Here is a 27,838-nt window from a genome sequence, read left to right as displayed (position 1 = left end):
CTGGAAGTCAGCGGTCTCCCGCCCGCGGCGCCATCGCGCCATTCCTAGTTAAGGCGGCACAGGGCCGAGGCGTAGTGTGGGTGACTCCTCCGTTCCTTGGGTCCCGTCGTCTGTGATACTGCAGCGCAGCCATGGCAGAACCGCAGCCCCCGTCCGGCGGCCTCACGGACGAGGCCGCCCTCAGTTGCTGCTCCGACGCGGACCCCAGTACCAAGGTGGGCACAGGACCGAAGGGAACGGCTCCCCCAGCTCCGCTGGGCCGGGACCGGGCCGCATTCTATCCAACCCCATCCCGCCGCCGCTGCAGGTCCGCCGGCCTCGGGCGGACGGGAGTGTGATGGGAAGAGGGATAATGGTGTTTGATGGGGCGATCGTGGGGCCCGCGAAGTGTGGAGGGGATCTGTTGCCTCAGCTAGTTTCAAAGACTGCGACCCTGTTTTGAATTGGCTTGTTTATGTTGCGACGGTGGCTGGAAGCCAGGCCAACCCAGGGTCAGCTTTCCCAAATCAGTCGCCAAGGCCCACGAGAACAGTAGTTTCAGAACTCCCAGAAATAGGTTCAAAGATGCCTGTCCTGTACCAGTCCTGCCCAGCCTCGTTTTTCCTTACCACCCTGACTGCAGTCTTAACTCCTGCAAACTAATTTGATCGCTCTAAGTTTAACCGCGCCCAGAATTTCACTTTTGCTTGCTTGGCCTTTGCTGTGGGTCACAACAGCCCTTCTTGCCTTCCTCATCTTCGTGGGGCCCAGGAGAGATTACAGAATCATAGAGTTTGGATCTGAAAGGAATCTTAGAAATTCCTTCTCTTACCCTCTCGTTTTACAGTAATGACCCAGTAAGAGAAATGACCTGTTGCATACAAAGGCTTTCACTTACCGAACATGTCTTTACTGGGTAAGAATCAGTGTAACTCACTCAGGTGTGGTGTTTCGGTTGCCTTGTTAAGATCAGACACAGTTGGCGGGCGCGGTGGCTCACGCCTGTAATCCCAGCACTTTGGGAGGCCAAGGCGGGCGGATCACGAGGTCAAGAGGTAGAGACCATCCTAACACGGTGAAACCCCGTCTCTACTAAAAATACAAAAAAATGAGCTGGGCGTGGTGGCGGGTGCCTGTAGTCCCAGCTACTCGGGAGGCTGAGGCAGGAGAATGGCATGAACCCGGGAGGCGGAGCTTGCAGTGAGCTGAGATCGTGCCACTGCACTCCAGCCTGGGCGACAGAGTGAGACTCTGTCTAAAAAAAAAAAAAAAAAAAAATTCAGGCACAGTAACCGCTGTTTATTCCAGTGAAGTCATCAGTGTCTGTAAACACCTTTGTATTTATTTATTTGACTACATCATTTGTAAATTCCTTGAAGATTGAATATGTGCTTCGTGCAGACCTTTAAAAGGGGTAGATAAGTGGTCCATGACTCTGGTCCCTGCTTGTTCTTTACCTTCAGGGCAAAGAGTCAGACACATCTCATTGCTAAAACTTTTGACTAGCACCTGGTACTTGGCTTAGGAAAAATGTTAGTCATTGCAAAATTAAGGGGGAAGGTAAAAAAATTCCGTCATGCCCATCTCACTTGTATATCCCTTAATATTAATACCTGGTTTTTTCATATAATGTAAATTGAGTCACTCAGTGTAAAGTATTTTCCCAGATAACTAGGGGTTTTATGTAATGGGGTTTTCAAATAAAAAGGATTCCAGGGATATCTTTATAAAATATACTAAGTAAATGTCCTTGCAGCTTAATTTACATTCCACAGTATCTAAATTTCTCTTGATGATTCGGAGTAATTAATTTTGAGATCAGTAATTTTTGGCCATGGGAGACATAAAATGGAATACATAATAATAGCTGGTATATATTGAGTGTGCCAGGCCCTGGCTTGGTATTTTAAGTACATTGTTTAATTTAATCCTAACAACAACCCTATGAAGAAGGCATAATTATGATCTTCATTTTACAAATAAGGACACTCAGGCACATAGAGGTGTTGAGTGATTTGCCCAGGGAGGACCCCACACTTCCAACCTCCACCCTGTTCTGCTTCTGGGGTGCTGACTCCAGCAGTAATTTTGGAATTTGCCATAAAGGAAAATAAAAAACCTCAATGAAGGCTGGGTGCAGTGGCTCATGCCTGTAATCCCAGCACTTTGGGAGAGCGAGGTGGGCAGATCACCTGAGGTTAGCAGTTCGAGACCAGCCTGGCCAACATGGCAAAACTCTGCTCTACTAAAAATACAAAAATTAGCTGGGCATGGTGGCGGGCACCTGTAATCCCAGCTACTTGGGAGGCTGAGGCAGGAAAATCACTTGAACCCATGAGGTGGAGGTTGCAGGGAGCCGAGATCATGCCACTGCATTCCAGCTTGGGTGACAGAGTGAGACTTTGTCCAAAAAAAAAAAAAAACCCTCAATGAATTAAATTCAGTTTGATCACTTGATACATTTATGCTATATGTAAAGAAGATGGTAAGTACTTTGGGGATACTGGGATAAACAAGATGAGGTTCCCTCCCTTCACCAACTTATATCAACTCTAATATACAATGGACCTGGGGTTAGTGTGCTATTGAAATATAAATCACCCTGAGAGCACCCTGGGAGGTAGAGGTTTTTAAAGGTAGCATTAGTGGAATGGGGTATGCACAGGGTATTTGGAGCCTGAAGACCTGCATTTGAATCCCCACTTCTGTTGTTGGCTGCAGTGACCTTGCCAGGGCACTTGGGCTCAGTTTGTAGAAGGAGCATAAAGATATCTCAGAGAGCTGCTATGAGGATAAAATGACATGTATTATGTTCTCTAAACTATGAAGAGTGATACAATTCAAGGTTGTATTTCAGCTGTGGGGATCAGGGCACACATCAAAAAGATGGTGGTGATGGGCCTATGCCTTGATAGATTGGGTAGGATTCCAGCAGAGTACATGGGAAGGCATTCTGATGAAGGAAACATCTTAGCAAAAATGTGTTTTGATACGGGGGGAACCCACCCCAATATTTCAACGTAGGTTCTTTCTATTTTCCATAAGTATTGGCCAGCTGAGAAATAAAGAGTACAAAGAGAGGAATTTTACAGCTGGGCTGCCGGGGGGTGACATCACATATCAGTAGGACTGTGATGCCCACCTGAGTCTTAGACCAGCAAGTTTTTATTAAGGGTTTCAAAAGGGGAGGGGGTGTAAGAACAGGGAGTAGGTACAAAGATCACATGCTTCAAAGGGCAAAAAGCAGAACTACTAATAAGGGTCTAACAAAGATCACAAGGCAAAGGGCAAAAGCAGAACTACTGATAAGGGTCCAACAAAGATCACAAGGCAAAGGGCAAAAGCAGAACTACTGATAAGGGTCTATGTTCAGCAGTGCACGTATTGTCTTGATAAACATCTTAAACAACAGAAAACAGGGTTCGAGAGCAGAGAAGCGGTCTGACCACAAATTTACTAGGGTGAAGTTTTTTCCCCACCCTAGTAAGCCTGAGGGTACTGCAGGAGACGAGGGCGTATCTCAGTCCTTATCTCAACCTCATAAGACAGACATTCCCAGAGCGGGCGTTTATAGACCTCCCCCCAGGAATGCGTTCCTTTCCCAGGGTATTAATATTAATATTCCTTGCTAGGAAAATAATTTAGCAATATCTCTCCTACTTGCACGTCCGTTTATAGGCTCTCTGCAAGAAGAAAAATATGGCTCTTTTTGTCCGACCCCTCAGGCAGTCAGACCTTATGGTTGTCTTCCCTTGTTCCCTAAAATCGCTGTTTTTCTGTTGTTTTTCAAGGTGCGCCGATTTCATATTGTTCAAACACAGTTTTACAATCAATTTGTACAGTTAACACAATTATCTCAGTGGTCCTGAGGTGATGTACATCCTCAGCTTACGAAGATAACAGGATTAAGAGATTAAAGACAGGCATAAGAAATTATAAAAGTATTATTTGGGAACTGATAAATGTCCATATTAAAATGAAATCTTCACAATTTATGTTCCTCTGCCACAGCTCCAGCTGGTCCCTCCATTCGGGGTCCCTGACTTCCCACAACAGTTTTAGGATGGTAGAATTGCAATGCAGGGCAGGTACTGGAGAGTTAGTTAAATGTTATTGGTTGCAGTTCAGGTTATCTAAGCAGTGGTGGAAGAGGCTAACATGGTAGGTTGGGGCCAGATTGTGGAGACAGCTTTGAGTGTCACATCTAAGGAAGTTAGATTTTATATACATAGTGGGGAATGAGTCAGGGTTTTGAAGTATTCTATAAAGTAGATTGGAGGGATCCAAGTCTGGAGGTGATTAGGCCACTTAAAAAGCTCTTCCAGAAGGTGAGATAAGTGATATGAGGGTCTCGTTTGTAAAGAAGACAGCAGCAATGGCACAAAGTCGACTTGTTTTTTGATCATTTGCATCTTCATTATAAAGGAAGTCCAGAGAATGTATGGCTATGTCACATTTTGGGCAATCTCTCTGGGCTAACTTTCTTTAAAAGGTCAGATTCTCCTGGCAACAGAGAGAGACTCCGTCTCAAAAAAAAAAAAAAAAAAAAGGTCAGGTTCTCCTTCCAAGTAGTGATCTGGAGATCTTTTCTTTTTTACTATCTGTATCTGTCTCCACTAATACAGTAGACAATGTCCTCAGTGTTGCCATTATTTCTACCACCACTGCCAATGTCCATTTTCACATCGTTCCATATATAAATATATGAATATATAAAAATATAAAAAATTAATATATATTAATATATAAATATATCTATAAATATATGAATATATATATATATGATGGGGTCCCTCTCCAATCAGGTAGATTGGTGGAATTGAATGCAGTAGAAAGGAGAATAGGGAATGGAAAGGAGGAAGGAAGAAGGACAATGGCCAGATAAATGGCTGACTATTCAAGGCATAGAGAATCATAATATATATAAAGGCATAATGACATCAGAGAACTGAGGCAGGGACCTACGGGTAACACAGTGAATGAAGTTATAAGCAGTGGGACTTGAGGGAAGGGTGACCAAAACAATCATTAGGGTACTCAAAGAAAAGATGAGAATTCCCATTATATTCATTTGTTTTTCTCACCCTGTAATGGTTGCTATTTAAGTGATAAGGGTATGAAATAGAAAATGTTTGAGATGACCGGTTTAGGGGAGTGGTGATAACCGTTGGTGTTAGAGAAGTATGCAGCTACATATGTGGTTGCTTTTGGGACTGTCTCTCAAATGTGTTGAGGAACCACTGAAGTATTGATTTTTAAGCCAAAAATGACATGACAGGGTTTTCTTTATGGAAAGATCACTCCAAATTGCATGTAGATAAGCCTATGAAAAGCAAAGAGATAATTGTCTAGGCAGGAAGTAGTGAGGACTTCTTGCTTTCCTCAAGATACACTGAAGGCAGTTGAAAAGCTCATTTTTAAAAGTCTGGTGAAAACCACTTTGTTCACTTTTGTTTTGTGGGAGATGTGACACCTAGTAATAAAGAGTTAACAAACCCTTTCCCCTTTTATGAAAATTTGACTTTTCGTTAACTCCCTAGTTTCCCAGAAAACAATGAAAAATTGTGTTTGTTGCTTATGGTAAAAATAACCCAATTGGTAAATTGCATCTGGAGAGGGAGAATTGTAAATACTTGAAAGGAAGCCATAGCTTTGGACTTCCCTGATTGTAGTGACTCTTATAACTGTCCCTTGTGGAAATTCTAGAAGTTCTGCCTATGGAGTTGCTACTAGAGATACTGGCTCCTGTGGTACATGGGGCCTTCTGCCCTAGGGTGATTCTCATTCATATCCAGTGTGAATCTTCTCCCTGTACCTGATCTGTGTCGACTCCTGTAAGGACTCCCACTGAAGAGGAACACCTGATACTTCTTTGTTGGCAATCTGTGTTTTCCTAACAGATACCGTTTTGAGTAAACTGGCACCATGTATGGCCTATGGCTATGGTTGTCTTATAAGTCTGGATGTTTAGTTGAGCCTTAAGAAGACTTTCTGGGCCAGGCCCGGTGGCTCACGTCTGTAATCCCAGCACTTTGGGAGACCAAGGTGGGTGGATCATGAGGTCAGGAGTTCGAGACCAGCCTAACCAACATGGTGAAACCCTGTGTCTACTAAAAATACAAAAAAATTAGCCAGACATGGTGGCGCGTGCCTGTAATCCCAGCTACTCAGGGGGCTGAGGCAGGAGAATAGCCTGGGAGGCAGAGGTTGCAGTGAGCCGAGATCGTGCCATTGCACTCCAGCCTGGGCAACAGAGTGAGACTCCATCTCAAAAAAAAAAAAAAAAGAAGAAGGCTTTCTGTTGGGGGCAATATAACACTTTTGAAAGTTATTTGAGAGACAAAGTAGATAGTCTCTAAAGGGAATTGGTCTCAGTCTTATTAAGGTCGAAAGACAACATTTTTTAAACCAGAGAAATTTTTTAATTTCTGAAAATATGGCTAATGCAAGTGTGGAACTTCTCCTTTCTGCAGACTGAGGGTAATAAAGGTGCTATGGTCTGAATGTTTGTGTCCCCTCAAAATTCATGTGTTGAAATCCTAATCCCTGAGGCAGGTATTAGGAGGTGGGGCCTTTCAGAAAGTGATTAGGTAGGTCATGAGGACAAAGTCTTCATGATTAGGATTAGCATCCTATAAAAGAGACTGTAAAGAATGATCAAGCCCTTCTGCCATGTGAGGTCACAGTGCAAAGGTACCATCTATGAGGACAGACACTAAATCTCCAAGTGCCTTGATCTTGGACTTCCTAGCCTCCAAACCTGTGAGAAATAAATGTCTGTTGTTTATAAGCCACCCAGTTTATGGAATTTTTGTTACAGCAGCCTAAATGGACTAAGATAAGAGGCAATGGAGATTTTAACTTTAAGATGTAACCTCTTACAAAGCTCTCTAGTAATACTTCTAGAGAAATAAGTATCTTCATCACTAGAAGCAAATTTGAGATTTTGTAGGGAGAAAACACAAAGTCAAACAACGTTTTTATCATTGTTGTAGCTTTTTGACCAGTTTTGATTCATCCTGAAAATAGACATATTGTAACCAAATACACTCATATCCCATTGTGGGAGGCAGTTGTATAAAATTCATTTAGAGACTCTGCTTCTGACAAGATGAAGTAGACATACTTTTCCTTATTCCTCCTGCTAAGTACAACTAAAAACTCTGGACATGATATATAAGACAAACATTGGAAGACTCTGAAAGGTGGTGAGAAGAAGGTAGACTGGCTAGGGACCTTGAGACCCTAGGAACAACAAGGCAATGAGTTTCCTAAGTTTTCTTTTTGCCTCATATTGCCCAGACTTGAAGCTGAAGAAGCTAGTAACCTGGAAATGCTGATGGACACAGACCAAAAAAAAGCCTAATGAAAGCCTGCTCTCTAGCCACAGGACCTGGAAATGGGCAGCATTTCCTGGCAAGAAAGAAAACTTTTAGACAATAACTGCTCTACTCCAACTAAACTCCATAGAGAAAACTGTGGCCTCAGTCCCACCCATGCCAGCAAAAGCTGAGTGGGGAGCCTAGATTTTCACCCAACCAGATGTAATGAGCTGCCCAGCCTTCCCCTGCCAAGGTGATGTGGGGGAAGGCTGGGTAGGGAGCCAGGACTTTCATCCTGCCAGGCTTTCCCCTCTTGCCATATCAATGGAGACACATGAGGAACCTAAAATTCCACCCCAACCCAGCAGTGGAAATATTTAAGATAATTATAAGCGGGAGAAGGTACAGGAATGTAAAGAGAGGTGAGGTTTCTGTACCTTGTTCAAACTAATAAAATGATGTCACCAAATGACTGATAAGTTATGTGTGTGTGTGTATACATATACATGGGTATATGTATATACATATATACATGTATGTCTGTATATATGTGTATGCGTATATGTATATATATGCCATATGTATATACATATATAGTAACACCTAGAGCCACCATTTAAAAAGCTATACAAAGAGATACATGCAAAAACACTACAGATAAATGAAAATTGAATTTTAAAAAGTTCCAGTGACCCAGAGAAAGGCAAAAAGAAGACAGAAAACATTAAAAAAGGAAGAACAAACAGAAAACAAACATGAATAAAATGGCCAACTTAAGCCCTAACATTTCAGTACTTACATTAGATACAAATACATTAAGAGACAATGATTGATAGAATGGATTAAAAAACATGCCCCAGCTGTATGCTGTCTACATGAAACTCACTTCCAATATGATAGAGACAAGGTAAAAGTAAAAGGGTAGAAAAGATAATTCATGCAGATATTCATCAAAAGAAAGCAGGAGTGGCTATCTTGATATCAGATAAAGTAGACTTTGGGGCAAAGAAAATTACCAGACATAAGAAGTACATTATACAGTGATAAAAGAGTTGTGATTGACCAAGATGACACAGTAATCATAAATATATGTTACTAAACAGCAGAGCTAGGGAACACATGAAGCAAAACTGATATAACTGAAAGGAGAAATAGAAAAATCTAAAATTATAGTTGGAGACCTCAACACTGCTCTTTTTTTTTTTGAGATAGGGTGTCACTCCTGTCACCCAGGCTGGAGTGCAGTGGTGCCGTCTCAGCTCACTACAATCTCTGCTTCCCGGGTTCAAGGGCTCCTCCTACCTCAGCCTCCCAAGGAGCTGGGGCTACATGTGTACACTACCACACCCAGCTAATTTTTCTATTTTTTGTAGAAATGGGGTCTCACTATCTTGCCTAGGCTGGTCTTGAACTCTGGGGCTCAAGCAATCCAGCCACCTCGGCCTCCCAAAGTGCTGGGATTACAAGCATGAGCCACCAAGCCCAGCCAACGCTCCTCTTTCAACAATTGATAGAACTAGACAGAAAATTAACAAGGAAACAGAAGAACTCAGCAATACCATCAACAAATAAGATCTAATTAGTATTTATAGAATGTTCTACCGAACAACAACAGAATTCCCCTTTTTTTTTCCAAGTGTCTGTAGAAAATATACCAAAGTAGACCATGCCCTGGGTCCTAAAGCCAACTTCAGCAAATTTAAAAGAATGGAATGATGTATTCTTCAGCAACAGTGGAATTAAACTAGAAATCAGTAGCAGAAACATAATAAGAACATCTTCAAGCACTGGGAAAATAAACAGCACACTTCTAAATAAATAATCCATGGATTACAAAGGAAGTCTTGGGAACTTTTTAAAAATATTTTGAGCTGAGGCCGGGTGCAGTGGCTCACGCCTGTAATCCCAGCACTTTGGGAGGCTGAGGCAGGCGGATCACGAGGTCAGGAGATCGAGACCATCCTGGCTAACATGGTGAAACCCCGTCTCTACTAAAAACACAAAAAATTAGCCAGGCGTGGTGGCGGGCACCTGTAGTCCCAGCTACTCGGGAGGCTGAAGCAGGAGAATGGCGTGAACCCGGGAGGCGGAGCTTGCAGTGAGCCGAGATCGCTCCACTGCACTCCAGCCTGGGTGACAGAGCTAGACTCTGTCTCAAAACAAAACAAAACAAAACAAATATATATATATATATATATAGAGAGAGAGAGAGAGAGAGAGAGAGAGCTGAATGAAAATGAAAAAGGGATCATAGCTAAACAGTGCAAAGGGGGAAATGTATAGCACTGACTGCATACATTATAAAAGAGGAAAAGTCTCAAATTAATAACGTAAGCTTCCTCCTAAGAAACTAGAAAATGAAAAGCAAAGTAAACCCAAAGGAAGCAGAAGGAAGGAATTAGAGAAGCAGAAATTAATGAAATTAAGAACAGAAAATCAGTAAAACAGAGCTGGTTCTTTGAAAAGACCAGTAGAATAGACAAACCTGTAGCAAGACTGACAATGAAAACAAAGAAGCACAAACTACCAATATCAGGAATGAAATAGGGGATACACTACAGACCTTTCTGACATAAGAAAGATAAGGGAATACTAAAAACAACTTTGTATACATAAATTTGACAACTTGAATTGGACCAATTCCTCATCCAATATGAACTAATATGATGAGTCCTATAACTTAAGGCAATTGAATTTATGATTAACAAACTTCCAAAGAAGATTTGTCCAGACCCAGGTGATTTCACTGGAGAATTCTGCCAAATGTAAAAGAAGAATTAACATCAATTATACACAACCCCTTCCAGAAAACTGAAGACGGGAGAACACTTCCCAATTCATTTGATAAAGCTAATATTACCCTGATACCAAAAACAAATGAAGACAGTACAAGAAAACTACAGACCAATATCTCCAATGAATATAAATGTAAAAACCCTTGACAAAATGTTAGTAAACAGAATTCAACAGTATATATAGAAAGAATTATACACCTTAACCAAGTGAGGTTTATATCTAGGATGCAAGCCTGGTTCAGTATACAAAAATCAGTCAGTATAATCCACCATATTAAGAGGGTAAAGAAGAATCACATGATCATATCAGTTGGTACAGAAAAGGCATTTGACAAAATTCAACACTCATTCATTATTTTTTTTAAGTTCAGAAAAAAATAGGAATGGGGGCATTTCTTTAACTTGATAAAGAGCTTCTCTTGAAAAGTTAGAGCTAATATTACACTCAGTGGTGATGCTTTCTCCCTAATTTTGGTAATAAGACAAGGATGTCTGCTGTTACCACTCTTATTTGACAAAGTGCTGAAAGTTCTAGACAGTGCAGTAAAGCAAGAAAAGGAAATAAGAGACATATAGGTTGGAAAGGAAGAAATCAAACTGTCCTTATTTGAAGATGACATGATTGTCTACATAGGGAATAATAAGTAATTTACAGAAAACTCCCAGAATTCATAAATGAGTTCAGCAAGGTTGCAGGGTACAAAATAAACATACAGAAATCAATCGCGTTTCTATATACTAGCAAAGAACACACAGGCACCAAAAATTAAAAAATACATTACCATTTACAATTGCCCAATAAAATGAAATACTTAGATATAAATCTAATAAACATTTACAGGACACATATGCTGAAAACAGCAATGGCGATGCAAAAAGTCATAGATCTAAATAAATGGAGAGATTTATTGTGTTCATGATTGGAAGACTCAGCACAGTAAGGATATCAATTCTCCCCAAATCAATATACATGTTTAACACACTCCTTATCAAACTTTTTTAGACAGAGACAGGGTTATTCTAGATTGAAAGGCAAAAAAACTAGAATAACAAACCATTTTGGAAAAGAATAAAGTGGGAAGAATTTTTCTACCTGATTTTAAGACTTACATAGCTACAGTAATCACTACTCTGTGGTATTGGCAGAGAGATAGAACATTGAAACAAAATAGAGAACCCCAAAATATACCCACACTAGTATGCCCAACAGCTTTTTGACAAAGATGAAAAAGCAGTTCACCAGAGGGAGGATAGCCTCAACAAATGGTGCTGAAGCAATTGGACATCCTTAGGTTAAAAATGAAGCTCTACTCAATTCTCATCCCTTATACCAAAAAAAAAAAAATCCATTTACTGGTGCTTAAAGGGGCCTTAATCCTTTGGTTCACATCCTTGCCTCACTTTTACAGTTTTGTAAGGATTGTATTGTAGGCAGGTAGGACATGCACTAGAAACATCCTTGATTGTACCTTTAAAGTTTTCTTGGCGGTTGCGGTGGCTCACACCTGTAATCCCAGCACTTTGGGAGGTCAAGGCGGGTGGACCACAAGTTCAGGAGTTTGAGATCAGCCTGGCCAATGTGGTGAAACCCTTTCTCTACTAAAAATATAAAAATTAGCTGGGCGTGGTGGCTGGTGCCTGTAGTCCCAGCTACTCAGGAGGCTGAGGCAGGAGAATCGCTTGAAGCTCGGGAGGCGGAGCTTGCAGTGAGCCAAGATTGCGCCACTGCACTCCAGCCTGGGTGACAGAGCGAGACTCCATCTTAAAAAAAAAAAAAGTTTTCTTACAGTAGTTTTCTTAATTAAATTTGGAGAATGACACTTCCCCTCCCCCCGAAAAAAACCTTATTATTTCTATTGTCCACCTTTTGATAAGGCACAGGAGCAAATCTTTGTCACCCAGTAGCCATCCCTGTAAAACCAAAGATAGTTTAGGCATAAAAGACACCTTATTTTTATTGTTCTAAATTTAAAGCATGATAAGGGAAAGACAAAATTAAGGACTATCAGGTGAGACAAGACATGAGCATAGCATAAGTCTTACTTTTTAAAACAGGAGATACATGTATTTTAAACGATATTTTAGAACCATACCAATAAAGCAATAATTTTTAGGAACTTAACTTTTTAAAACAGGAACTTTTTCTCAAGATCATGCAAGTGTTCACAAGAGGCACATGGAGTTAACAGACTATTTTGGTGATAAAAATAAAACTGTTATCTGAGCATAGAATAACTTGATCATTTTCTTAAAAATAAGCCCTTCTTGTTTTTATATCCATTTAACAATTTGTAGCAAAGGATTTATAAGCCTCTATTTTATCAATAAATTCACTAACGTTGAATATATCTTACTTTTTTTGCCACGTATAGACTTTTTAAAGTGAATTTTAATATTCTTTATGTGTATGTGTTTAGGCAGATACAGTACATAGTTCTCTTAATAATAAAGTTAAAGTCTGTAACATTAATTTTAAGATATAATTAATCTCAATAGCATATTAAGTGGTATTTGTTTTCATATGCATGTGTGTGTGTATATATATATAATGTTTTTAAAAGCTAATATACCATTTTATATATTCCCATGCCATTAGACTTAGTATACCATCTGTATATATCTCCATGCCATTTAATATACCTCGACGCAGCATTTTAAATGTTTTTCATAATATTCTTTTATGCCTGTGTCATACTATCTAACTATTCCTTTGTTAGAGGCAGTTAGTGGTTTAAAAGCAAGGACTTTGGAATCAGATTGCTTGGGCCAGAATTTTTTCTCTGCCACTTACTTTCTCAGCAGTAAAATGGGGATGATAATAATATGTATCTCATGGGCTTGTTGTGAAGATTACATGTATTAGTTTCTTTGAATCTCTTAGAACAGCATCTGGCACATAGTTATTGTGTAAGTGTTGTGATGGATGCCTTTGTACATAAATCTTTGTCAGAGTAATTATTTCCTTAGAATTTTAGAAAGAGAACATCTTGGTCAAAGAATATGAATTCTTAGGCCAAGGCAGGCGGATCACGAGGTCAAGAGATCGAGACCATCCTGGCCAACATGGTGAAACTCTGTCTCTACTAAAAATACAAAAATTAGCCGGGCTGGGTGGCGGGCGCCTGTAGTCCCAGCTACTCGGGAGGCTGAGGCAGGAGAATCGCTTGAACCCGGGAGGCGGGTTGCAGTGAGCCAAGATCTCACTGCTGCACTCTAGCCTGGAAACAGAGGGAGACTCTATCTCAAAAAAAAAGAAAAGAATATTAATTCGTGCACCACCACTACTGGCTGATTTTTTGTATTTTTAGTAGAGACGGGGTTTCACCATGTTGATCAGTCTGTTTCTCGAGCTCCTGACCTCGTGATCCGCCCGTCTCAGCCCCCCAAAGTGCTGGGATTACAGGCGTGAGCCACTGCACCTGGCCAAGAATATGAATTCTTGAGGACTCTTGATATTCCAGTTGTTTTCCAGAAAGATTGTAAGATAAGGATATGATAGACTATGGGATAGAATAGTTAAGGTTGTCTAACTTTGGCAAGTACTTGGCATGGCATCTACAACAAAAAATACATGCTGTGCCTAAGATATATGGATTTGAGTATAGCCTGTATAGTGTGAACAGAAGTAATGATAAAGTCGTTGGTAAAGTACCAATACTAATGTTGGTACTAGAAAGATGTTGAAGAAACAAAACATAAACAGGGTCACTACAAAGCAGATTTTAAAAGATAGTTTTTAGATTTTATCCTTTTTTAAAAAAACTGAGCAACAAATAATGTTGGGTGCAGCTTGGTTGGAAATATATTATCTCATAATTCCATAGGCTAGAGGTCCGACTTGGGTCTGTCCCACTGTATTGACAGGACTGTGTTCCTTACTCAGAGGCTCTGGGGAAGAATCTGCATCTAAATCCATTTAGATTGTTCCCTGAATTCAGTTTCTTTCCACTGTCGGACAGGGGTCCCAGCTTCCTTGCTGGCTGTCAGGCGTGGATGGGTATGGTGGGGTGGGAGCAGAGGGCAGCTGCCTTTAACTCCTGGCACATGTGCCCCATGTCTCAGAGCCAGCACCTGCAGGTTGGCCCCTTCTCACACTTGGAATCTGTCCCACTTCCCTTTATGCCACACTCCTCTTCTACTTTCTTTGCGCGCGCACGCTCGCTCTCTCTCTCTCCTGCTTTTAAGGTCTTGTGTGATTACATTGAATCCACCTCAGTAATCCAGGCTAATCCCATTTTAAAGTCCACTGATGAGTGACCTTAATTTCCTCTCAGAGTCTCTCACAGCAGCACCTAGGTTAGTGTTTGAGAGAATAAGGAAGGACATCTTTAGAATTTAGTCCTTGCTTGCACCTCCCTCCAGGGACTGCAGTGCTCCCTCCTGAGACTGAGAACCAGTGCTGGGAGGACAGATCTCCCCCATGAGGCCTGCCAGCTAAAGTCTGTGTGATTGTGTGTGGTCGGGCCTGACAGATCATACATAAGACTTTGTCCTGCAGGTGGCTTCCTCAAGCAAACATTGTAATCAATAGAGAAGCAGCTACCACTCATATTAGCTGGGAAAGAAGGATGTTTGTTATTTTGGTAGTGTTCATAGTGCCTTGTTTTAATGTATACTTAGACCGGAATATGAAGTGGACATGGTCTTGCTGCTTTAAATTTTTTTTTTTTATTTTGGTATCACATCATGGCAGCCACAGAGTGACTTTATATATGTTCAACAGGAGAAAACCAAGGCCCAGCTGTGAGTACCAGGCCAGCACTTGGATGTGCAGAGCTACTTTTCTCTTTCTCAGCTGCTTGATAAAATCGAGACCTTTAGGACTGTAGCATCTGACTGAGAAAAGCAACCCAAATGTTCTAGAAACATGTAACCTGCCTGGCATGTGATTATAAGCTGCGAATAAAGAATTTAATTATTATATTTATTAAGATCAGTTTTAATAAGATAAAGTAGTTTTTAGGCTAGTTTTGTTTTAAATGAGAATTTTAATGCCTAAAAGAGTATGTTTCATTTACTTAAAATTTAGCAAAAGAGAAAAATATAATTTCCTAATGAGGCTGAATGAACTATATTTGTATTTTATATGATGTGAGTTATATAGGAGAAAGATGGCATGTGGCTCCAAAGTAAGTGGTCAGAATTTTCAGGCCTGTTTTGTCAAGCCATGGGTTTAACAGAAAAAAAAAAAAAATCTGTTAGGAAGCACCAGTGAGGTTCACAGACTTATGGTCTGGAAGGTACATACCAATGGTAAAGGGAGACCAAAACTTAGAGGCCTTAAACAGTTAATTACTCAGTGTCAGCTTCTCATCTACAACATGGGGTATGAATATCGACAGTAATACCATATAGAGTTATTACACCTAGTTAAGTCCTAAGTAGAATTATTAATGCTATTAATAATCTTAACTCCATGAATTTACATACCTTCTACCCTTTTCTCAGTCAAGCCTTCTGTTTCCTGATAAGTAAGTTGAATTTCCCAAAGGTGTTAGCAACAGTAACTTTTTACCCTTTTAGTTATTTAGGAGTCTAGGATCTTGTGAGTAACTCTTTGCTAATTTGCGTGGTCACCAGTAAATGGTTCTAGAAGGGCATTTATGCCTTCATTCAACAAATATTGTAGTGATCAACCTCTTTATGTGTAAAATCAGTGTCTTAGTTTGGGTAGCCCCAAAGCAGACTAGAGAGAATGGTGTGGTTTTAAGTTTTTGAGAAGTGGTCACAGAGAGCTCTGCAGAGTTAGGGAGAGAGGGTGATCATAGGTGTATACGAGTGGATTACCACTGTGGGCAACTGAGGTTCAATCCTGCTGGGGATTCTTTGAGGGACTTTGTGGTACCTGCCTCTGAATTGTCCCACCAAGGGACAGGGATGCCAGGTTTTTTATCGACCATTGGTTGAAGGTCATTCCTGCAGTGGAAACTTTCTGACACTTTGGACTTGCATCACACAGGGGCCTGCAACCAGAAGATACCACTGAGCAGAGAGCCCTTGCAAGTTGTAGGTGGTAGGTTAACAATTGTGTTTGTATCTTGTTACAGAAAGCACAATTAATGTTGGTAATAAATGGTAAAAGTGAAAGATGTTTAATATAAATATTTTTCCATAGGATTTTCTATTGCAGCAGACCATGCTACGAGTGAAGGATCCTAAGAAGTCACTGGATTTTTATACTAGAGTTCTTGGAATGACGTAAGTCAAGTACTTATTGGCACCTTAATGTTTAAATATATAGCTTTGCAAATCTAGAGAGTGTTTTCAGACCCATCTTAAAGTTTGTTTCAGAAGTAACAGAAGTTCTTTTGGCCAGGAGTCTGTGATTAGGCCTGGCTGGACAGGGCTTCTCTCGTAAGTTCTTTTTCTTCTCTATCCCAGCCAGCCTGAAAGGGCAAAACAAGACACAAATAGTTGCATTTTCTCCAGTCTGCCTTCTCTGAGCGCTCCCAGCTAAATCCTTAATGTGTTCAGACCCCTTTTGATGTTCTGGCCACTTTTAGCCTCTTGTTTACTTCAGAAAAGTTATAGATAATAAGAACTTACTACTCAGAAAACCAATGGGTTTACTTAAAACTGACCATCTGTTCTATTTTTCTAGGCTGTGTTTTCTTTTGCTCAACAGGTCATATCCACTGATCTTGCAATCCTAAAGCATACTTATTTTTCTAAAGCATGTTTATTTTTCTTTTTTTCTCCAGCTTTACTGAGGTATATTGAGAAATAATTTTGTCATATTGTTGATTTGTTTCCCTAAGTTATGTGAGCATTTTGCTTTTGAGCATATAGATACATGAATAATAAAATAATCTTTAAATTTAGTGCCTAGATAACTTCCATTCACATTGAGAGAAAAATTTAAGTAATATATGTCTATATTTAGAAAATTTGACCAGTTCAGAAAAATACAAAATGAAAAGTAATAGCTTCCCTCCCCAAGTTCTTCTCCCCAGAGATAACTGCTGTCCAGTTTCTTGTGATTTTTTTCTAGAAAAAGGTATTATGAATATATTTATGACATATTTAAAGGACAAAATGAAAACAGATTTATTGAACACTTTTGCCAGGCACTTCAAATGTTATTTTGTTCAGTCTTCACACCAGTCTTAGGAGGTAGCTTTTATCCCCATTTCACAGACGGAGAAACCAAAGCTTAATGAGATGAAGTTACTAGCTCCAAATCCCACAGTTGGCATATGGCAGGGCTGGAACCTGTATCCATTGTCTGATGGGCTCTAATGTAGACTTCCTGTGCAGAGCCCCCAAATAGGGTACAAGTTGACAGTAAGCTGGAAGATTTGAACAGCTGAGAAAAGCAAGTTGCAACAGTTTCATTTCCTTCAGTCCCAACTGATTGGTCCATGAGGGTTGTGTAGTCTGCTTTAGTAGGTGCAGAGATTGTTTTTCATGATTGGAGTATTTGAGGTGTTTGATACTTTATTATAAACATGTTAGAGTAAATCTTATTTGTGATAAGTCAATGCAAGGATCTAAGTGGGCCAAGGTCTATTATATAGCAGTGATAATGAAATAAAAGATTGGAAGCAGAACTCTAGAAACTTTCCATTTGCTATATGGCAATAACAGCCATTTGCTCTTATTGATTATGAACAAAGTCATCTTTGAATAATCTAAAGAAAATCATATATGCATTCTCATGCCACCTTACTCCTTGCCAAATAATCCTATACCATTTAAAGTCATTTAAGGTTCAGGACTTCAGTTATCTTTCTTAAAACCTCAGGATTCATAATTCATTCACTCTCTCTCCCATCAGTCTCTTCTACTGTCTCTTTCCCCTCAGAGAAGCGTAAGTCTTCTTTGTTCCAGAATATTTCTTGCCCTCTGCTCCTTCGCCTACCTCCCCATTGTCACTGCCATGCTTGCTACTGTTTTACCTGCTCACCTGCCATTCTCTCTCCCCAGTACAGTGTAATCCAGCTGATGCTTCCCCACTCTGCTGACATTGCTCTCATGGGACCTTTCCATATCTCATGACCTTTTCTTAGTCTTAATACTGTTTGACCTTTCTACAGTATCTGATACTGTTAGCCACCTTACTGTTGACATTCACGTCTTCTGTGATACTAGTCTGTCCTTCCTCCTTCTTTCTTACCACCTATCCTTAATTTCCTTTCCTAGATGTTTTGGCATAGTAAGAACTCAATAAATGTGTTTATTTAACTGAATGACATATTTATATATGTGTTTGTATGTGTGTATATATATGAAATAGCAACAAGGTTCTTTATATTTTTCAGTACAAATAAACACAGTTCTCTTTTGGAGATAGCCGTTTCTATTTATTAACAAGTACCATAATTTCAGCTAAATGTTACTATATTTACAGAATTGATGAATTACAGAAGTTTTCATTTTTGTATTTCAAATATTTACAGATGCATTTTTCATGATATTTTTTCACTGATTTTTCCTCCTGCTTATTCCATTAAAATAGGCTTACTACATATAGCTCTTCTTTTTAGTAAAACTTGAATATTAAGTTATGTTGATTATAGTATGAATTAGCCTTTCCTGTTGTTAATGATTCAGGCTTGTTGTTTTTTCATTGCAGGCTAATCCAAAAATGTGATTTTCCCATTATGAAGTTTTCACTCTACTTCTTGGCTTATGAGGATAAAAATGACATCCCTAAAGAAAAAGATGAAAAAATAGCCTGGGCGCTCTCCAGAAAAGCTACACTTGAGCTGACACAGTGAGTATGAGTTTCTATATTTATATATATTATAGATTTTTTAAGGTAGTTTTTAAAAATCTTTTTTGTTTTGTTTACTGACCAGTATAATTCAAACCAGATCTGCCTATGACTTCACATTTTTAATAATATATTGAAGTGTTTTTCATGCATCTTTTGATCTTTGTATTGTTCTTGGGCAAATGAGATGTGTTTTTTTTAGAGACAGGCTCTCTGAAGCCTCTAACTTCTAGGTAGTCTTCCTGCCTCAGCCTCCTGAGCACCTTGGACTACACATGTGTGCCACCACACCCAGCTAGTTTTTGTTTGTTTGTTTTTGGTAGAGGCATAGAGGCAAGGTCTCACTATGTTGCCCAGGCTGGTCTCAAACTCCTGGCCTCAAGTGATCCGCCCGCCTCGGCCTCCCAGACTGCTGGGATTATAAGCATGAGCCACCACGCCTGGCCCATTTGTCTTTTATTTTTATTTATTTATTTATTTATTTTTTGAGACAGAGTCTTGCTCTGTTGCCCAGGCTGGAGTGCAGTGGCGCGATCTCGGCTCACTGCAAGCTCTGCCTCCCGGATTCACTCCATTCTCCTGCCTCAGCCTCCCAAGTAGCTGGGACTACAGGCGCCCGCCACTACGCCCAGCTAATTTTTTGTATTTTTTGTAGAGACGGGGTTTCACCATGTTAGCCAGGATGGTCTCGATCTCCTGACCTCGTGATCTGTCTGCCTCGGCCGCCCAAAGTGCTGGGATTACAGGCGTGACCCACCACGCCCGGCCTCCATTTGTCTTTTAGATAAGAGAATATAAGACCCTGAAATTGTAAGATATTTGCCTGTTTGTCTCTAACTAATTTTTAGGTACTATAATTAGTCTTTCAGCATCCAAAATTTTGTTCTTTTATTATTTTGCTACATTTTGGATCCAGAAATGTGATATCATGTGTTCCTTTAAAAATTCTTCAAACCATTTTGTAATAATTAACATTCAAATTTGGTATTTTTATAACTTGAGCACTTAAAAATGTAGGCAATTTCTTTACATTGTTTATCTGCATACTTTAAAAGAGATTGATTTCAGAGTGTGTGATTTCGTGTGTCCCTTGATTCAAAATAAAGCTTTGGAATCAGGCAGGCTTAGATATGAGTCTGTGACTCTAAACAAGTAAGTGGCAGTTTCATCAATAGAATGGAGATGTTCACACCTAGCCCATGGAGCTGTTTTAAGGGTTTAAATGAAATATAAAGTACTTAGCACAATAAATGAGCATTATTATTATTCTTATTATTGTTCTTGTCCAGTACCTGTATTTACTGTCTCTTTAGTCTCGTTAAAATCATACTTTGGCCATTTGTCCTTTCTATAGTTGAAAACTTAATATTTTTGTAGCAGGGGTTAGGCCAATTATGTAAAGTAGCATATAAACGTGGTAAGATTTCAAAGATGTTACTTGCTTTTCAGAATATCTATTCCCTAGGACATTGTAGCTATGTTTTCCTTCCTTTTGTAGCAATTGGGGCACTGAAGATGATGAGACCCAGAGTTACCACAATGGCAATTCAGACCCTCGAGGATTCGGTAAGTTTGCCTGTTTTTATGTGATATATGTAGATTTGTGTGATTTTGTATTATGTATATAATTATGATTTTAATAAACCTAAAACATTAATGTCCTAATTAAGTATGATCAATTTATTAGAGATATGATTATTTTTATTTTCCACAAATAATCTTATTTAGGAGTTGTTTAATTTCAGAGTCTCGATCTAAAATTACACTTACCATCTCACCATGATTTACTTTTAAGTCTCAGAATTAATTTCCAGTAGACTTTTTTTTTTAAAAAAGCTGTAGTTAATACTAATCCCAGTTTCTGCTAGCACATACACTTCTGCCTTGATCTCCAGTCTCTCAATCAAGATGACAGTATTGCAGGCTTCAGCTGGCTGCTATAGTCAATGCCAACCACAAACCTATTAAGTATTAGTAAATGATTACTGTTTTTTGGTGTCGATTATTCTTAACTGATTAGACTGTATATGAGCTGATATTGATTAATTTTAAATAATTTATAATTCAAGGCAACTAATTAACTACTTATACCCAGCCCATTAGATCTATATTTGTTCTTTAATGTATTATAGATTTTGAACCTACCTAAGTCTGTTCCCAAGTGCCTTATGTTTTGAAATAAACAAGTTTTGGAATCTACTTGTGGTACTTGGACACCCTGTTATAATTATTTCTTCCTTCTCTCTGCTTTTTTCGGGGGGTATCACGTAAGGTCATATTGGAATTGCTGTTCCTGATGTATACAGTGCTTGTAAAAGGTTTGAAGAACTGGGAGTCAAATTTGTGAAGAAACCTGATGATGGTGAGTCTACTACTTACTGTGTTCAGGCCTGTCTTTAGTTGATATTTACTAACCACCTACAGAGGCCACTGTTGTAGTAAAACCCTTTTGGCTACAAGTAACAGAAGTCTCCACTTCAACCAGAGTTTTAAAAAAGAGAAATGATTGGAAGAATATCTGGGTATTTTAGGGAACTGAAAGACAGCAACTAGGGTGGCTTTCCAAGGCACTAGACACAGGACCTGGACAGCCATCAAAACCCTACGCTTCCTCTCCCACTGCCCGACCCCACCACTTTCTTTCATTGGCCACCAGCTTTCACTATTTCAGTGTATATCTTTCCGCCCAAAAATAAGTTCCTTAAAGTCCATTTTATCTGATGCTCATATAATGACACCAGCTCTCTTTAGTTTATAATCACATGGTATTTCTTTTTCATCTTTTATAACCTTTGTATGTCCTTAAGTTTTAGGTAGGTTTTTTGAAATAGCCTACGTATGGATTTTGCTGGGTTTACATGTATTGTTATTATTTTACTTAGATCTCTTTCTGAACTATTTCAAATTAAAATTGAAATATTAAATATTTCAGAGTCTCAATCTAAACATTTGAAATATTTCACTGTTTAATTTCAATCCTTTTTTAAAAAAATTAAAATACTTAATATCCAGTGCTGGGCGTGGTGGCTCACACCTGTCATCCCAACACTTTGGGAGGCCAAGGCGGGCGGATCACGAGGTCAGGAGATCCAGACCATCTGGGCTAACATGGTGAAACCCTGTCTCTACCAAAAATAGAAAAAATTAGCCAGGCATGGTGGTGGGCGCCTATAGTCCGCCTACTCAGGAGGCTGAGGCAGGAGAATTGCTTGAACCTGGGAGGTGGAGGTTGCAGTGAGCCAAGATCGCACCACTGCACTCCAGCCTGGGCGACAGAGTGAGACTCCGTCACAAAAATATATATATATTTAATATCCAAATCTTCTCCCCAATAAGAAAGGAATTTGCTTCACTCTGTCCTCATTGTGTCACTATTACCTAGAGTGGGATAGTATTGATTTTATTTTTTAAAGATAATAATAAATATATCACGGTGTTTGATCACTTTTTCTTCATATATCTCTTGTAGTGTCTCCTTTGAGACAGGATCTCACTCTCATCCAGGCTGGGGTGCTGCAATGGCACTGTCATAGCTCACTATAGCCTTGAAACTCCTGGGCTCAAACAATCCTCTGCCTCAGCCTCCTCCTAAGTAGCTAGGACCACAGGCACATGCCACCACACCCAGCTAATTGTTTTATTTTTTTGTAGAGATGAGTTCCTGCTATGTTGCCCAGGTTTGTCTCAAACTCCTGAGCTCAAGCGATTCTTTCACCTTGGCCTCCCAAAGCACTGGGATTACAGGCGTGAGCCACTATGCCCAGCCTTTTTAGCATCTTTTGGATTTTTCTGTTCTTTTATTTAAATACCTCAACCAAAATGGTCTTTAAAGGGGTTTTGTTTTTGTTTTTTGAGACGGAGTTTCGCTCTTGTTGCCCAGGTTGGAGTGCAATGGCACGGTCTTGGCTCACCGCAACCTCTGCCTCCTGGGTTCAAGTGATTCTCTTGCCTCAGCCTCCCGAGTAGCTGGGATTACAGGCATGCACCACCGTGCCTGGCTAATTTTGTATTTTTAGTAGAGACGGGGTTTCTCCATGTTGGTCAGGCTGGTCTCAAAATCCCAACCTCAGGTGATCCGCCTGCCTCAGCCTCCCAAAGTGCTGGGATTACAGCTATGAGCCACCGCACCCAGCCCTTTAAAGGGTTTTTAAGGCAAAACTTTTGAGATTCTGTGTAACTGAGGATGATGCCTTTATGTCTGAAGGACAGTTTTATGGAAAAGCCTAGGTTTAATTTCCTTCAGTCTTGAAAATACTCTTCTATTTTCTTTTTGCATATGATGTTGCTGTTGAAAAATCTGTCAATTCATGTTCCTTTGTATATTCTTCTGTTTTATTCTAGAAGCTTTTTATATTATTTCTTTGTCACTGCCTGCATTCTGGGAGATTTCCTCAAACTGGAATACCAATTAGCTAATTTTCTCCCAAATGTATCTGTTCTGATATTTAATTCATCTATTTTGTTCTTAAACACCTGTTATAATTTTGATCTCTAATTTTCGCTTAGTTTGCTTAATATGTTCTTGTTCTTTTTTTCATATTGGTAATATTTCATATTGTTTATTACTTTTTTTTTTTTTTGAGACAGAGTCTTGCTCTGTTGCCCAGGCTAGAGTGCAGTGGTGTGATCATAGCTCACTGCAACCTCAAACTCCTGGGATCAAACAATAATCCACCTCAGCCTCCTGAGTAGCTGGGACTACAGGCAAATGCCACCATGTATGGCTAATTTTTTATTTTTTGTAGAGACAGGGTCTTACTATGTATCTCAGGCTGGTCTCAAACTCCTGGCCTCAAGTGATCCTTCTGCCTCAGCCTCCCAAAGTATTGGGATTACAGATGTGAACCACCACACCCGGCCGGTCATTACTTTTACATGTCTAAATAGTCCTTGGGTCTGGGCATGGTGGCTCATGCCTGTAATTGCAGCACTTTGGGAGGCCGAGGCAGAGGATTGGGAGGTTCGGGAGGATCACTTGAGGCCAGCAGTTCAAGGCTGCAGTGAGCTATGATTGTGCCATTGCATTCCAGCCTGGGTGACATAGGAAGACCTTGTTTCTACAAAAAGGTTTTTTTTTAAATTATCTGGGCATGGTGGCACATGCCTGTAGTCTGTATGCCTAGCTACTCGGGAGGCTGAGGTGGGAGGATTGCTTGGGCCCAGGAGTTGGAGGCTGCAGTGAGCTATGATCCACTGTACTTCATTTCAGTATAAACGACAGAGCAAGACCCTGTCTCCAGAAAAAAAACAAAAATAGCTCTTGGTCCATTATTCTAATATTTCTTCTGTTTGAATCTACAGTCCATTGCTTTGGGGGTGTTTTATGGTTATGTTTCTCAAATTATTATTTTTTGCCTCTGAGCTTTTTTCCCCTGCAACTGTTCGCTATTCTAACACATCAAGCAGTGTGAATAGGAGAATGGCCAGATCCCTGTCCTTAACAACCCACATGATCTCAGGACAATGGGCTGGATAAGCCTAGGCCAGAGATTCCTAGGCACCTAGAAATGAGACTTAAATTTATTTCACCTTCCACAAAACACCTCTTCAGGTTGGATCTTCCCACTTCATCCCTCAGGGAAGAGTATTAGTAGGAGACACTTCCGATAGTGTTATTCCCTAGCCCTGGGCGTGGAGAGAGGGCTGGGGAGATCATTCGGCCCTACCAGTTTTTCTCAGTTTCTCACAAGCACAAGGCTCCTGCACTGCCCTTGTTTACTGGTAAGGACATCTGAACAAGCGAGAGGGCAGGTGCCGATGCACACAGCAGTGAGGGAGGAGCAAGAGCAAAACTCTGTTCTCTCGCAGCCATTATGCACTGCCTTCTGGTCCAGGCCAGAACTACCACCTCCCACACAGCCCAAGTTAAAACAGTCACCCGGCCCCATCCTCACCCATTCTCCCCAGCTGTCACCAGCCGGGTTTCTTTCTTTCTTTCCTTTTCTTTTCTTTTCTTTTCTTTTCCTTTTCTTTTCCTTCCTTCCTTCCTTCCTCTCTCTCCCTCCCTCCTTCCTTCCTTCTCTCTTTCTCTCTTTCTCTTTCTCTTTCTCTTTCTCTCTTTCTTTCTTTTTCCTGCATTTTCCATCTATGTTCCTCTAGGATTGATCTTGGAGAAAGGAGGCAGAGATAAGAGTCAAACCAATTCAACATAATGGTCCCCAAATAAATTTCTGAGGTCATATTTTTCCATTTAAGCAAACAGCTCTGACATACTAGACTCTCAATCTCAGTTTTGAATTCCTGGGAGAAAGACTCTCGCAGAGCTTGGGTTGCCTAGGATAGTATTTAAAAGGGTTTGTATGACCCAAGCATCTGGGTCTTTTGGTTGTGGGGGTAAGCCATGCTACCAGCTCCCTTCAGCACCTCCCTATTTTCTTTTTCTTCTTTAAAATAAGACAATTTCTGTAACTACTGAACTGGTAGTGTGGTATCATGAAGGTGAGGCAAATGCCTGATACCTAAAAGATGCAGCCAGTCCCACAGTTTATTTCAGGAGGGCTGGTATTTGCAATGTGTGCAAGATAACATTTTAGTCATTATGAAAAGTATGACTTTTCATACTTTTCTGACAATAAGAATTTTTAAAATTTAAAACTGTAAACAAAATAATGTACTTCATTAAAATGCAAAGTAAATCTTTAATTAATAAAAGTTTTTAAGGCCAGGTGCAGTGGTTTGTGCTTGTAATCCCACCACTTTGGGAGGCAAGGCAGGAGGATTGCTTGAGGCCAGGAGTTTGATAGCAGCCTGGGCAGTACATTGAGATCCCGCCTCTACAAAATCAAAAAATTAGCCAGGCAAGGTGGTGCGTGCCTGTCGCCCCAGCTACTTGGCAGGCTGAGCTCAGGAGGTCAAGCCTGCCTTGGGCCATGATCATCCCATGCACTCCAGCCTGACATTCAGAGCAAGACCTTGTCTCAAAGAAAGAAAAACATTTTTATGGTGTTTTCTTTTTTAGTCTTTTCAATAATGAAAATTTTCATTTTACAGGTAAAATGAAAGGCCTGGCATTTATTCAAGATCCTGATGGCTACTGGATTGAAATTTTGAATCCTAACAAAATGGCAACCTTAATGTAGTGCTGTGAGAATTCTCCTTTGAGATTTCAGAAGAAAGGAAACAATGTGATTCAAGATATTTACATACCAGAAGCATCTAGGACTGATGGATCACTGTCCCGATTCAAATTATTCTTCAGTCCATTTCCCCTTCCTATTTCAGCTGTTCCTTTTCACCTAACTGTTCAGTCATTCTGGTTTTCAAGCAGTGCTTTATCTCATGTCCTTGAATATAGTTGTGTAACTTTATTTTTTAGGTAATAATTAGAACAGTTCCCTTCAGAGGCTGCATTTGCCTTCTTCTGCCACCTAAATATTACTTCCCTTCAAATCTGCCTTTGAATCATCATTTTTAAAAAAAAATTAACATGTTTTTGTTGTAGTTATCTTCTGGGGTTTCAATTCCTCAGAAACAACTTTTTTCACAACGGAAAGGAAAGAACACTAGTGTTCTTTCAGTAAAGTACAAAGTGTTTATTTTACAAAAGAGTAGGTACTCTTGAGAGCAATTCAAATCATGCTGACAAGGATACTGATAGAAAAAGTGATTTCTTCTTATTATAAAGTACATTTAAAGTTCAAGGACTAACCTTATTTATTTGGGAAAGGGGAGGAGGAAGGAAATGATATGGTACCCAGACACTGGGCTAGGCTGCAACTTTATCTCATTTAATACTCCCAGCTGTCATGTGAGAAAGAAAGCAGGCTAGGCATGTGAAATCACTTTCATGGATTATTAATGGATTTAAGAGGGCATCAATCAGCTCAACTCAAGATTTCATAATCATTTTTAGTATTTAGATTGTGCCTCAAAGTTGTAGTACCTCACAATACCTCCACTGGTTTCCTGTTGTAAAAACCTTCAGTGAGTTTGACCATTGTGCTCTTGGCTCTTGGGCTGGAGTACCGTGGTGAGGGAGTAAACACTAGAAGTCTTTAGTACAAAACTGCTCTAGGGACACCTGGTGATTCCTACACAAGTGATGTTTATATTTCTCATAAAGAGTCTTCCCTATCCCAAGGTCTTCATGATGCCAGTAGCCATATATGATAAATTATGTTCAGTGATAACTTAGTTATCAGAAATCAGCTCAGTGGTCTTCCCCGCCATGATTCACATTTGATGAGTTTTTAAAAATCAAAGTGATTTTGAAAATCTCTAATGGCTCAGAAAATAAAAACATCCAGTTTGTGGATGACTATATTTAGATTTCTCTAGACTCTAGTGGAAGACCTTTGGAAAGGCCATGCCAACCGTGCTTGTACTGCTAGAAGCACTTTATGTTTCCTTTTTGGGTGAAATGGATTTATGTGAGTGCTTTAAACAAATAGCAATACTTATAGACTGAAATAAAATGAAACTTCAAATAAGACTATGTTTAATTTGTAAACCTTTGTCCATCATGTTCTTTCTTTAAAAAAAAAAAAAAACAACTCCCCTTAGTGAGTACTGAAAGGATTTGAAAAGGCTTGTAGGCTCATTCTGAAGAGAGAACAATTGTGATTCTGTACAGCCCGTAAAGCAGGTAGTGTCTATGGATAAGGGAGTGTGGGAAAGGTGGGAAGAAGAAAGTGAATACGGAATAAAGGATTGTGGTAGATAAAGTGCAAACAGAAGAATATCAAAAGGTAAGGAACTTATGAAGACCAATTTCACATGTTGAGTGCTAGAACTGACAAACGGGAGGGCTAATACATTCACAAATTCAGTAATTTAAGCTTTATTTCCAAGGAAAGAAGCCTTCTCCACTTGCTGAGTAAAACTTGCCAAAAGATAGCCCTTGCTCATTCTTTAAATTCATTCCTATATGCATTTTTTTTAAATGTACAGTTGGCCCTTGAACAACATAGGTTTGAACTCCACTGGTTTATTTATACAGGGATTTTTTTCAAGCAAATGTGGGTTGAAAATACAGTACAAAGGGGGCTGACTTTTCATATGCCAACTGTGGGACTTAAGTATGCACA

The 27,838-nt window shown here is 39.8% G+C and overlaps 1 protein-coding gene across 1 annotated transcript, besides 6 other annotated features; it reads left to right on the top strand.

Annotated features, from left to right (window-relative positions):
• Positions 41-27,261, top strand: GLO1 (glyoxalase I). The gene is made up of 6 exons (NM_006708.3): positions 41-215; positions 16,212-16,294; positions 18,672-18,812; positions 20,311-20,378; positions 21,085-21,174; positions 25,803-27,261. The coding sequence occupies exons 1-6, from the start codon at positions 132-134 to the stop codon at positions 25,889-25,891; spliced, it is 555 nt and encodes a 184-aa protein (NP_006699.2). The 5' UTR covers positions 41-131; the 3' UTR covers positions 25,892-27,261.
• Positions 105-204: an enhancer, noted in NCBI's record as "active region_24486". NCBI's record gives its function as "activates an Ori minimal core promoter by ATAC-STARR-seq in GM12878 lymphoblastoid cells {active_cell/tissue: GM12878}" and the evidence as "EXISTENCE:reporter gene assay evidence [ECO:0000049][PMID:35858748]".
• Positions 225-274: an enhancer, noted in NCBI's record as "active region_24485". NCBI's record gives its function as "activates an Ori minimal core promoter by ATAC-STARR-seq in GM12878 lymphoblastoid cells {active_cell/tissue: GM12878}" and the evidence as "EXISTENCE:reporter gene assay evidence [ECO:0000049][PMID:35858748]".
• Positions 307-899: an enhancer, noted in NCBI's record as "NANOG-H3K27ac-H3K4me1 hESC enhancer chr6:38670063-38670655 (GRCh37/hg19 assembly coordinates)". NCBI's record gives its function as "activates a minimal SCP1, AML or CMV promoter by ChIP-STARR-seq in primed H9 embryonic stem cells {active_cell/tissue: H9 hESC(primed)}" and the evidence as "EXISTENCE:reporter gene assay evidence [ECO:0000049][PMID:30033119]".
• Positions 14,266-14,345: an enhancer, noted in NCBI's record as "active region_24484". NCBI's record gives its function as "activates an Ori minimal core promoter by ATAC-STARR-seq in GM12878 lymphoblastoid cells {active_cell/tissue: GM12878}" and the evidence as "EXISTENCE:reporter gene assay evidence [ECO:0000049][PMID:35858748]".
• Positions 14,396-14,445: an enhancer, noted in NCBI's record as "active region_24483". NCBI's record gives its function as "activates an Ori minimal core promoter by ATAC-STARR-seq in GM12878 lymphoblastoid cells {active_cell/tissue: GM12878}" and the evidence as "EXISTENCE:reporter gene assay evidence [ECO:0000049][PMID:35858748]".
• Positions 21,746-21,958: a silencer, noted in NCBI's record as "fragment chr6:38649004-38649216 (GRCh37/hg19 assembly coordinates)". NCBI's record gives its function as "represses an EF-1alpha promoter that drives an FKBP-Casp9 reporter gene in an ReSE screen in K562 erythroleukemia cells {active_cell/tissue: K562}" and the evidence as "EXISTENCE:reporter gene assay evidence [ECO:0000049][PMID:32094911]".

This window comes from Homo sapiens, chromosome 6 (assembly GCF_000001405.40).
Source record: "Homo sapiens chromosome 6, GRCh38.p14 Primary Assembly".
Classification (NCBI taxonomy): domain Eukaryota; kingdom Metazoa; phylum Chordata; class Mammalia; order Primates; family Hominidae; genus Homo; species Homo sapiens.
The sequence above is the reverse complement of the archived record's forward strand: the minus strand, read 5'-3'. Positions and strand labels throughout refer to the sequence as shown.